This window comes from Homo sapiens, chromosome 7 (assembly GCF_000001405.40).
Source record: "Homo sapiens chromosome 7, GRCh38.p14 Primary Assembly".
NCBI lineage: Eukaryota > Metazoa > Chordata > Mammalia > Primates > Hominidae > Homo > Homo sapiens.
The window spans coordinates 27,374,684-27,387,486 of NC_000007.14; the positions used below are offsets into that span (position 1 = coordinate 27,374,684).

Genomic DNA, 12,803 nt, shown 5'->3' on the forward strand with positions numbered 1-12,803 from the left:
GCTGGAGTGCACTGGTGCAATTATGGCTCACTGCAGCCTCCACTTCCCAGGCTCAAGCAATCTGCCCACCTAAACCTCCAGCAAAGCTGTTTATTATGTTTAGTAGAGATGGGGTCTCCCTATGTTGCCCAGGCTGGTCTTGAACTCCTGAGCTCAAGCAATCCCCCTGCCTCAGCCTCCCAAAGTGCTGGAATTATAGGCGTGAGACACTGCACCTAGCCTGAACCTGTTTTAAAAGCTTGGAATTCAGAAACACTGAAAGGAGTGTGTATTAAAAGAACTACCTGAGACTGGGTAATTTATAAAGAAAAGAGGTTTAATTGGCTCACGGTTCTGCAGGCTGTACAGCAAAAATAGCTGGGGAGGCCTCAGGAAACTTAGAATCATGGTGGAAGGCAAAGGGGAAGCAGGCACGTTTTACGTGGCTGGAGGAGGGGGAAGAGAGAGAAGGGGGAGGAGCTACACATTTTTAAACAACCAGATCTTGTGAGAACTCACTCACTATCAGAAGAACAGCAAGGGGGATATCCACCCCCATGATCCGATAACCTCCCACCAGGCCCCTCTTCCAACATTGGGGATTACAATTTGACATGAGATTTGGGTAGAGACACAAATCCAAACCATATCAGAATGGGATTAAGCCCAGACTATAAAGCTAAGAAAAACTTCATTATTACTCCTAAAATATCTGGGGACATTTCTGGGCATGAGACTGGGGAGCTGAGACAGGGATTGCCCCATCAAGCAGTACACCAGCTGTTCCCTTGTTCTGAAACTTCTTCCTTCTTCATTCCAAACTGTCCTTGACTATCATCACAGTCAGATGTCCACTTAGACATCTCCTCCTCTCTGGGGAGCTCCTCCCCGATTCCAAATTCAGTTAGGTGTCCCCCCCACCACCCCACCCCCCACAGAGCCCTCCTAGTGTCTTGTCCTTGCTCATTCTGCTGAATGGCTGGCTTCCATCCTGTCCCAGGTTGCAGGTCATTGCCTGCAGGCAGTGACCTTGCCTCACCTTTCATTGGCTCCTAGTCCTACCTCGTAAAGGAACTGATTCATAGATACTCAATAAATATTTAGTAAATGAATGAATGAGACCCTATTAGTGCAGATACTTTTTTGTTTGTTTACTTTTTCTCATCTCTATAAAAGAGGCAACCTTACTTTTCTATGTCAGTGAACATAATGAGAGCCTTTTTTTCCTGATTTCTCTCCTTTAGTTAGGTGGATCATGAAAAATCACAAAGTACTTTAAAAAATGAACTGGTTCAGAACATCCTTCCCAATTATTAGCAGCTCCCAAGGATTCTACAGGCACTTTTCAAGGCACTCCCTCCCTTTTCCTCACTGACGTTTCCAGAGCCTGCTGGCGTGGAAAGAATGTCTGAGAAGGAAAAAGAGCTACGCTGCGGAGACTGCTTTTTCAAGCCAGGTTCCCAGCCAGGACATTTTCTTCTACAGTTTCCCAGAGATCAAGCCAGCAGCTGCTTCCTGCCCCTTGCTGAGCTGTACCTGGGGGCTGATGGTTTTACTGTTCTTTGGTAACCATGCAGATTCAGAGCTGCATGTTCAGTAGCTAGAGGGCTCCCTTAAATGGACAAGGTTGGAGCCTCACATTCCACGAGCCATTGGAAACTCTCAGCCTTTGGTTCCTTATTATGAGAATGTTACTGTGGCTCTGGGCTAGACAATGAATCTAGCAATGGTTTTGATGTCTTTTGTTTCATGCAGCCCATAAAAAGCAGCCGGGCCCTGCTGTCTGCACTTGGTTTGGGCAGATAGACCCTCTACTATGACAGCCTTTAACTCTCACTCTAACCTGCCCTCATTAACTTACCTACAACAGGAAATCTTGCATATCACGTTTCATTTTATAGTGGCCTGTAGCACCCTCAAGGTGCCCATCCCACCTACTCACTTTGAAACCCTGACTTGGGAAGCTAAAGTGCGTTGTCCCCATTTGGTGATTGTTAGAACCATACATAGGTCACTTTAGTTCACTGGCCCATTCCCATCTTCCCTCCATTAAGTAGCTGCAACTGAATTTTGCGATAGCCTTTTCTTTTCTGCCTCTGAGGTGATTTTAGGGAATATGTGGAAATCTAAATCTCCTGCTGGTCAACAGGCAAGAGCTGGGTACCAGAGGCTGAGCTGCTGATAGGGCATTTGATTCTTTTTCATTCTGATTAAGCCTCTGGGGACTCATAGTCCAAACATGAAGAACAAATGGATTTTAAATTAGTTCTTAGGATCCAAAAACTCTGGCTGCAAGTACAAAGAGGTTAATGGTCTTGTAGGCATTTTTACTTGCTTCTCAGTTTTACAGCTTTGAATCCTTATGTGAGCTGATAGGAGCTTCTTGTTGGCAAGAGATGTTAGAGAACTAAACCCAGGAAGAATAGAAATAGTGCCAGGAAAGACAGATAACCTGCAGAAAGGCTATAAGGCTGTTTTGGCTTCTCCCAACCTGTGCAAGCTGCCATCAGGAGGGTAGGGGTAGGCAGGTGACAGCCCCCATCTTTAACTACAAAAGTGCCTGGAGGTAGCATAAAGAACCATCGGAGCAGTGTCAGACTCCCTTCCTCCCTATTAGATGTGCCACCCAGAAGGTATGGTCCTGTTGCTTTTCTGTTTAATTTTCTGAACAGTGGACATGTATTAAATGAGGAACAAGTCCTTTTGCAGATCTTTGTACAGTATGCAAGTATTCATTCAATACCCAAAATGTTGGAAAGTCAGATGTAAGCCAACATTAATAACAGCTAAGCCTGCAGGAAGTATGATTTCCTCAACTGCTACCAAAGGAAGTGACAAAGTATCAGATATATGTTTTTAATGTTTTACTTTTTAATATTTATGGGTACAGAGTAGTTGTATATATTTATGGGGTACATGAGATGTTTTGATATAGACATGCAATGGGTAATAATCACATCATGGAGAATGGGGGATCCATCCCCTCAAGCATTTATCCTTTAAATACCAGGTATTTGATTAAGAGAAATTGGGATGGAGAAGATAAGTAACTGCAACAGAAGTTGTAATGGTCTTCAACTGTCTGTATCATCATCAGTCTTCTAGCTCAAATGATGGCTTGAATACACTGCCACAAGAAGTATTTTCTGGTTCAAAAATTGAAAGCAAGTTTTCAAGGGCCAGGATGAAATCCACTGCAATAATGTAAAATGTAATCGCCCCATTTATTATTACAGAGATTACCAAAGGTCTGATGGTGTTTTTAATGGCAGTGTGTTTTAATGGCAATGTGTTTTATTTCTCTGGTGGAAAAAAGGGTTATGCTCCAGCGACCTAAAATAGCCCCACTGAGCATATTTCGCACCTCCACCCAAGGCACTTGGGGATTTGTATGGGAAGAGTCCATTTTCTTGGGTTCAATGAGATGCGATTTGGAAAGGGAAAAGGTTGCTGAGGGCAGGAAGTATCTTCGATTCAACTAAAGTCATAGCTAGCTGTTGTCCTTCTGGTACCTTCCTCTGGCCCATGGGGGCAGCAGTGGGCAAGAGGGCGTTATTTAGTTGATGGAGGTAAGGAAAAAATGAAGCGTATGAAGTCGAAGATTGAGCACTATGAGGAAAAGTTTTATTGTTAAGCAGGGAACCTGTGTCTAGGCTCTGGGGGATGAGATGCCCAGACTCGGGAGGGGGTGTGGGGAGAACTAGGGTGGGTCCTTCAAAGCCAAGACACTGCAAACTCTATTTGTGCCCTTAGGATAGCAAAGTCTCTGATGGTTGCTATTTGGTTGGTGATGTGTGAACTGTCCCTGGGAGGTTCTCCTGCTTGGGATATGGTGGTATAAGATGTGGTGCCCAGCTGCCCCTGCTATGCACAGGTCATGCGGGTCAGGATTGGGTGGCCCAGTCCACTCTGCACCAGTATCAGCCGGCTCATGGCCAGGCCAGGGTTTATCAGTGGCCACAGTGGTGGGAGGTGGAGACAGTGTCCTTGTCATATATTCCTTTTATTTATTACACTCCCCTGCCCATTTCTACCATCTACGTCATGTGGCACTTGGGAACATGCAGTTTGATCCTGGACACTACTCTCAGACTCTCTGAGCCTCAGCCTGCTCACCTCTGAGGAAGGGGGATAAACGCCCAGCACAGAACAAGCTTAACATCAGACATCCTGAACCGCTGACTGTGGACCACCCCGACCCTGCAATCTCACAATGGGATTTTTTTATCTTATCTCTTCCCAAATACTATGAACTCCTCCAGACACTGCATTCCTTATTAAACTGGACATATATGTCTAACTTAAAAGGTAATGAACTAAAAAGTCAAGGTATAGATCAGGGAACCAGGCCCCCCAGCAGCCCCCAAAGTTGTTGGTGTCTTCACACTGGAAAACAAGCCATTTGATTCCTTTTAGCTGGAGAAAAAATGCATTAAACTTTGTAACTGAGAACATTTATGATCCATCTGACCCCAAATCTCAAAACCCATTGAAAGTGGCATTTAAATCTCACAGTGCCCTGAGATTCTGCCAACACCAGTGGGGAACATAGCTAAGAGATTGTGTTACATCTTTGACCTGAGCTTTTTTTTTTCTTTTAAATATGGTCTTGATAAATGATTTCCCATTTACCTTTTTCCTTTCTCTATTGTCTGTAACCTTGAAACTTGATTTGCTATCCACCAGGCAACACTGATTTGCAACTTCACTAGATAGGTTGGAGGAGGGGGGCTTACAGCCTCAAAACAACCCTGCTTTCCCTATCACGGGGCCAGAGGGAGTGGAGCTGCTTCTGAATGCTTGCTCTGAATTCAGCCTTGCTGAGTGCTACTCAAGGTACGGGTGCGGTGGGTGGTGTCCCCAGTTCCTAATCTGGGGAATTATCCCAGTGTACTTTGGGCAGCAAATTTCTGATGCAGAAAGATGGTGTTTGTACTGCAGAGCTGTGGTCTTAACATTTACACAAAGTCACAAAGTTTGATCTCAAAGTCGCTAAACCTCTCTGTGCCTCAGTTTCCCCATATACACAAAGGAATAATAACCGTCACTATCAGTAGGGTGTTTTAGCAGCAAATAACAGAAAATCCAAATCAAATTGACCTCAACAATAAGAACATTTACTGACTCCCAGAACCAGAACTGCAGTGGTTGGGTATGGCTTCCTCTCCTGTCATCTCTTGCCCCCATCCTGTTTTGTTCTCATAACAACTAAATCCTTAGGCTGATAGGAAAATGGAAGCAACAATCTGCAAACTGACATGGGCCAAGGTTTCAAGGATTTTATTTAAGGTAACATCCTAACAGGAGATTTTTGAACCACAAAGGTTCCAGCCCTTAATGGTGAGATTTAGTGCCTTACAGTCACTGGTATATCCTTGGGATGCTAGATATTATCGTGGCTAGCATAAGACCATAGGGTCAACTTTGCTTCCCTTGACATTCTGGAATGTGTCCACACCAGGCACAGGAGCCGGAATGGCTGTGCCTTCTGTGAGGTCACCAATATCATCAGAGGATGCTCCTTTTAGGGGATGCAGGTAGCCAATGAACAGCCAGAGCTGAAGAGGCACCATGAAGCTGAAAGGTCACCTTGGGTTCCTTTGAAGGGAAGGATACAGAGTCCAGCCAGTGCTCATTCCTGTTGGTGGTCTTCTTCCAGAAGCCTAAAGTAGTGGTTCTCAAACTTGAGCACTGGCTTTGAGAGCTTCTCAAGGTACAGATTGCCAGCCCACACCTCAGGAATCTCTGATCCAGCAGTTCTGGAGAAGGTCCTGATCATTTACATTGCTTACAAGTTTCCAGATGATGCTGATGCTGCTGGTCCAGGGACCAGAATTTGAGAAGCACTGACCAAGAGGATGAATGATGGAGTACGCTTTGCAGCAGAGACCAACAGCAGCCACCCGGACTCAGTTGACTTTCTGCTTACTCTGGCTTATTTATTCTCCATATGCTCCCCATCATCACTGAAGTATCCTGGATCATTCATTTATGGAGGGAACCACATTTTTACCTTATAGGCTAGAGCTCTCTGTGGGAGAGCGGTGGGGTTTTATAATTTATCAACTATGAGGAGCTCACTATTTCATACCCATGGCTGTTTAGAATGCTTAAGAGAACACAGAAGCTCCCTGAGGTGCGGCCCTTTTTTATGCTGGATCTCCAACACTGGAAGCAAAAGGAAGTCCCAAACAGAAACTATATGCAGTGCTGAATCTACAGTGGCTCTGAGAACTTTTAACTAATGGGCACTTGTAAATCTCACAACATTTCCTACTGGCGTGAATGCCCTGGGTAAAATGCTCATTAAACTGTCAGCCAGCAGAGAGGTGTCGTTGCTGGAAAGAGAGTCACAGCATCCAGGGGTGGAAAGAGGCCTCCCTGGGCCACCAGGGCCCTCCTCTCCCCCATTCACCCACCACCAACCCCAGACTCAAACCCTCCTTTCAAAGCCTTTCAGAGGATGTTACAACTCTCCTTCACCTCCACCAGGAAATTATTCTTTTTCTCCAATCCAAATATATATATATATATTCATGTTTAATCACTATTTCTTTTTGTTGGAGAGGATATCTTCTATGAAAATTGAGAATGGCTAGCCACTGTCCATGGTGGACAGTCTTTCATGTACTTAGAATCCCTTATAAAATTACTCCTGAGTCCTTATCTTTTTTATTTTTGTTTCATCATTTTAAAAATTACCATTTAGTGGCTGGGTGTGGTGGCTCATGCCTGTTATCCCAGTACTTTGGGAGGCCGAGGCAGGCAGATCACGGGGTCAGGCGTTTGAGACCAGCCTGCCCAACATGGTGAAACCCCATCTCTACTAAAAATACAAAAATTAGCTGGGCGTGGTGGCAGGCGCCTGTAATCTCAGCTACTCAGGAGGCTGAGGTAGGAGAATCATTTGAACCCGGGAGGCAGAGGTTGTAGAGATCCAAGATCGCGCCATTGCACTCCAGCCTGGGCGACAGGGTGAGACTCCACCAAAAAAATAAAAATTAAAAAAAGATTACTATTTAGTATTAAATAACATTTACACAGTAAAAAAAAATTACATAGCACAAAATAGTATATAACAATTCTTTCCTATAATTAACCTCCAACAATAGTTTCATATGTACCTTTCAGAGATTTTCCAAACATATATTTGTATATACATACACACACACACACACACACATGATTTTAACTTAATGACATATCTTGGGGTTTCTTCATATCAACACATATACTTCTTTATAAGGATATGCCATAAATTATTTCATCACTTCTCTGTTTATGGTTTTTTGACTATTTCCAGTTTTGTACTTTGGGCAGTGTGGTAGATACATCTTTCATTATTTTGGCAAATAGAAGATTTTCTAAAAGTGAGGTTGCCAGGCCAAAGTTTGTATATATATTTTTTTCTTTTGAGATGGAGTCTTGCTGTGTCACCCAGGCTGGAGTGCAGTGGCACAATCTCAGCTCACTGCAACCTCTGCCTCCTGGGTTCAAGTGATTCTCCTGCCTTAATCCCCCAAGTAGCTGGGATTACAAGTGCGTGCCACCACACCCAGCTAATTTTTTACATTTTTGGTAGACACAGGGTTTCACCGTGTTGGCCAGGCTGGTCTCGAACTCCTGACCTAAAGTGATCCACCCGCCTCAGCCTCCCAAAGTGCTGGGATTACAGGCATGAGCCATTGTGCCCGGCCTAGGTTTGTATATTTTTAATTTTGACAGATTGCATTCTAGAGGTTGCACCAATTCTCACTCCTGTCAACAATGTTCAAGAGTGCCAGTGACTCCCTACATATGCTCACCTGTATAGTGTGTTGACAAGTTTTGAAATTTTTGCCTCATAGGCAAAAATAATGCTATAATCTTCAGACCTATAATTCCCACTTCTCTTCTTATGATTGAGCACCTTTTTTTTTTTTTTTGAGATGGAGTCTTGCTCTGTCGCCCAGGCTGGAGTGCAATGGCACCATCCTCGCTCACTGCAACCTCCACCTCACAGGTTCAAGCGATTCTCCTGCCTCAGCCTCCTGAGTAGCTGGGATTACAGGTGCACACCACCAGGCTCAGCTAATTTTTGTATTTTTAGTAGAGACGGGGTTTCACCATGTTGGTCAGGCTGGTCTCGAACTCCTGACCTTGTGATCCACCTGCCTTGGCCTCCCAAAGTGCTGGGATTGCAGGCGTGACAGCCACTGCACCCGGCCGTGCACCTTTTCATATGTGTAAGTACCACGTGTGTTTCTTTGAAGTTTGTTTATCTCCTTTGACCGATTTTTCTATTGGTTGTTGAACTTTTTTTGTAGGTTATTTTTACATATCAGGAATTAACTTTTGTATGTCACACATGTATATTCTGTTGTAAGAATTTTAACTATTTTTCCCCATTTTGTCATTTCTGTTGATTCAGTTTAAAGTGTTTTATGCCATGGAGCCATTTTTTATTTTTATATAGTTAAATATAATCATGCGTTTTCTTAGGGACTTCTGGGTTCTATGTCAATTCAAGATTATTAAAAATGAAAAACAATATTCCTTGCTTTCTTCTAGTACTTTTGTGGTTTATAGTCTTGTGGTTCCTTTCTAACATTTAATTTGGTATAAGGAGAGAGGTACTGATACAGCTTTATTTTGCTTCCCAATGGCTCTCCACTTGTCTCAACACTGCTTACTGATGGCCCATTTACTCTTTACCGATATACAATGTCACTGTTGTAAACTAAATTCCTGTTTGAACTTGAGTGTGTTATTTGTGGAGTCTGTACTCATTCCACTGATTGGTCTGTTCATTTGCCAAAATCTCGTTATAAGAAATAGAGCAAATTTATCATGCATTTTAGCATCTGCTAGGACAAGTATGCTCCATTACTCTTCTTTTTCAGAATTTTCTAGACACACTAGCATGTTTACTTTTGTGTAGAAAATTGAAAATCTGTCTGGAATTGAAAATTACCATGTTGGTACTTCTATTGAGATTGCATTAAATAGGTCTATTTAGATTGATTTAAGAAGAATTGACTTTTTATGATTATTAAGTCTTTCTATCCAATAACAAGGTTAGCATTTCCATTTATTCAGGTTTTCTTTTGTGTCCCTTAGTAGCATCTTAAAGTTTCTTCATGCACAACTTCAACATTTCTTGTTAAGTTCATTCCTGGATATTTTTCAGTTTCTTCTTATAAATGAGTATTTTTTTTTCATTTTGTTTTCTAATCTGTGTATATTTTGTATCTTATTTTCATACCCATCAATTTTCTGAATTCTTTTACCTGCTATAGTAATTTTTCGATTGATTATCTTTTTGTACTCTCTGCAAGTAGTAATTTTGCCCACCCTCTTCCCATGCTTCCACTTACTTCTTTCACCTGTTCTGTTGTAATGGCTACTACATCTGGAACACTGTCAAATAACAGCAGGAAGAATGGATATCTTGGTCTTGCTCCTGAGTTGAATTAGGAAGGCTTCTAGGGCTTCTGCATTCTGTATGATTCAGGCTTTGGTGAATGATCTTGTTATTTTATTGAGTTAATATGTTATGAAAGCATCCTCAATAATATTTTGTTAAAAGTTGGATAAAAATTTTACAATGAATGTTAGATAATTAAATAAGTTTTCAGCATCCAGGGAAGCAATTGCGATTTTTCTCTTTTGATCTATTAGTATGTTAAACTATAGTCATAGCTTTTTCCGGTATTGGAAAATAAATAGGTAATGTTTATTCTGTGTTTACTTTGTTCCAGGCCCTATTCTAAGCACTTTACATGTGTTAATTCATGGAATCCTCTCAATATACTATAATTAACCCCACCTGAAAAATGAGAAAACTAAAGCACAGAGAAGTTAAATAATTATGTGTCCGAGGTCCTATACCTGGTGAGTACCAGATCCGGAATCTGAACACAGGCAGTTTGGCTCCCGAATCTACATTCTCACCAGCTACTCTCAGCAACGGTCTTTGAAATTCTCATCAAGAGGTAGCATTCTCTTAATGTGTACTGGATTCTCTCTGCTAACACTTTATTTAAGTGGGTTTTTTGGCCTTGATATTAATAGATAACTTTGGACTATAGTTTTTCTGTGTGTATATTATCATTGTCGATTTTTGGAATTGATATCTTGTTAGCTTCAAAAACTAATTTGAAAGTTTTTCTTCTTTTACTGTGGCCTGGAACAGTTTAAGTAGTCCTGGAATGATCTTTTCTTTAAAACATTCTTTGCACCTGTGAAGTGTCTGATTCTAGTGCTTTTGAGCGAGTTGGATTTTTGATAATGTACGCTATTTTTTTCCTCTAATCATTGGTTATTTAGATTTTCTGTAACTTCTATGATTGGTTTTTGTAGTTTATGTTTTTCTAGAAAGCTATCCATTTCATTCAGGTTTTCAACTTTATTTCAGTAGAGCTGAGCAAAGAAATATCTCAAAATTATTTTGTTTTGTATACATACAAAACAGTTCCCAATGTACTATTTTGATTTTGTATTAGCCTATGTTCATATTCTTTTCTTAATTATTTTAGCCAGCAGTTTTTCTGTTTTGTTCTGTTTTCAGAGAAGTAGCTCATGGATTTATTTGTTGGTTTTCTATTTTATTTTAACATTTTACTCTATTTGTGGTTACTTCCCTTACCCATTTCTAATTTTGTATATGCTGTTTCATCTTTTTATTTGACTAGGTTGGCTAATGGTTTGTTATCTATTTTATTGTGTTTTTTTTTTGTTTATTTATCCCAAGTACCATCTTTTGGATCCATTTTTAGTTCCATTTAAAAAACTAATTCCTTTTGCCATATTTAGTTATATTTATTATTATTTTTATAACTTGCCAGAATGACTGTTCCTATTAATTATTTTCATTCTTTTATGTTTCACAACACTAGTTAGTAGAACTATGTGGTGAGAGGCAATATCCCAAAGATTGTGATACATGATTCTTGCATTATCAATATTTTCTAGATATTGCATTTTAAATTTTGTTTTAATTTTTCTATGGACCAAGAGTTAAAGAGATAACTTCTTAGTTTCCAGGTGGTTAAGATTTTTTTGTCTCTTATAAATAGGGTTATTTTGATCAATATTTCAAGGACAATTATATAATGGGCATATTCTTTGTATTCAAGGTTTAGAGGTATAGATATGTACAAATATAGATATAGAGATACACACTTATGTGTGCACACACTCCACCCTATTAACTATGGGATTTAAGTTGTCAGTGGCATTCTTTTTTGTCTACTTGATCTGTCATGGCCTGAAAAAGTGCTCACCACAGTTGCCTTTTTGTCTGTTTCTCTTTGTTTTTATTGCAGTTTTTCTTTTACGGATTTTGAAGTAATGCTATTTGCTGCATGAAAATTCACTAAATTGTGTTTACCATTATAAATTGTCCATCTTTGATTTGTATAGTGTGTTTTTTGTCTTGAATTTAATATTATGATCCTTGTTATTTTTTTGCTTGCACCTAATTTCCATGTCTTTGCTTTACCTTTTACTAGCAACCTTTCTGAGTAATTTTATTATAAATGTATTTCTTGAATGTGTAATGTGGCTGATTTATATCTTATTTCAGGTAAGATATATATTCAGATATCTTATTTCAGATAAGATATATATTATTTCAGATTTATATCAATCTGAAAGTGTTTTTCTTTTAAAAAGGGGAGTTTCCCATTTACGTGTACTGCTAAACTATTTCTGAACTTAGTTCTATCATCTAACAACTTACTATTTTACTCTTCCTTTTTTGTTGTTTTCTCTATGGCTTAGGTTTTATTGCTTTATGCTCTGAGTAAATGTATTTATCTTCTACAAGTTTTTAAGATTGACATTTGGTTTTTATTATTCTAATGATACCCCAGTAAATTTTTTTTTTTTTTTGAGATGGTGTCTCACTCTTGTCGCCCAGGCTGGAGTGCAGAGGCATGATCTTGGCTCACCGCAACTTCCACCTCCCAGATTTAAGAGATTCTTCTGCCTCAGCCCCTCGAGTAGCTGGGATTACAGGCGTGCACCACCATGTGTGGCTAATTTTTGTATTTTCAGTAGAGATGGGGTTTCACTATGTTGGCCAGCTGGTTTCAAACTCCTGACCACAAGTGATCCGGTCTCCCAAAGTGCTAGGATTACAGGTGTGAGCCACTGTGCCTGGCCCCCAGTAACTTTTAATATATTGAAACCTTCTTGCTTTTTCAAGTTCAAGCAATATTTTTCGACACCCTGCTATGAGAAATGAGGCAAATTAGCAAGACTCCCTCTAGCCCTCTGCACCTTCCTGTCCTTATTATCCCTGTCACCTTTGTTTGTACTGCATCACCACGAGTCCAGTTCTTCATGGCACTTATCACAGTGCGTAATGATGCTACTCATTCATTTGTTTACTTGTTTGTTCTTTAACTCCCCCTCTGGACTATAAAATACTTGAGGCCAAGGGCTTTGTGTGCTTTTGTGTGATCAGAAAGAAGTGACACAATTACAGGATAAGAGAAGGGTTATAAGGGGCCTTTAAGATTATCTCACCCAAGCTCTCACTTCGAGTTAGGAAATCGAGCCCTGGCGGGTGGAGACACTGGCCCTACATCACAGAGCTAGTGAGTGATGTCACAGAGCTAATGAATTTCGATCACTTCACCCAAGCTTGTTCCAGAACTCCAGGCTCCCTCAAACATATGTTAACCACAAGGGAGGCTTCACATTTACATAGAACCAATGTGGATGATATTTTTTAGCAATTTCAATTGCTGTCACTGAGCATCTTTTAAATGACATATTTGAAAATAGCTCCATTATAATGTACAATTTAAAAAAATCATTGTTTCATATGTTCATAA

The 12,803-nt window shown here is 40.4% G+C and overlaps 1 long non-coding RNA gene across 1 annotated transcript; it reads left to right on the top strand.

The window, feature by feature from the left end:
* The first annotated feature begins 5,533 nt into the window (after positions 1-5,533).
* Positions 5,534-6,523, top strand: LOC105375206 (uncharacterized). Its single transcript, XR_927134.3, has 2 exons — positions 5,534-5,692; positions 5,775-6,523. It is a non-coding gene; the product is annotated as an uncharacterized LOC105375206 (long non-coding RNA).
* Positions 6,524-12,803: the final 6,280 nt, after the last annotated feature.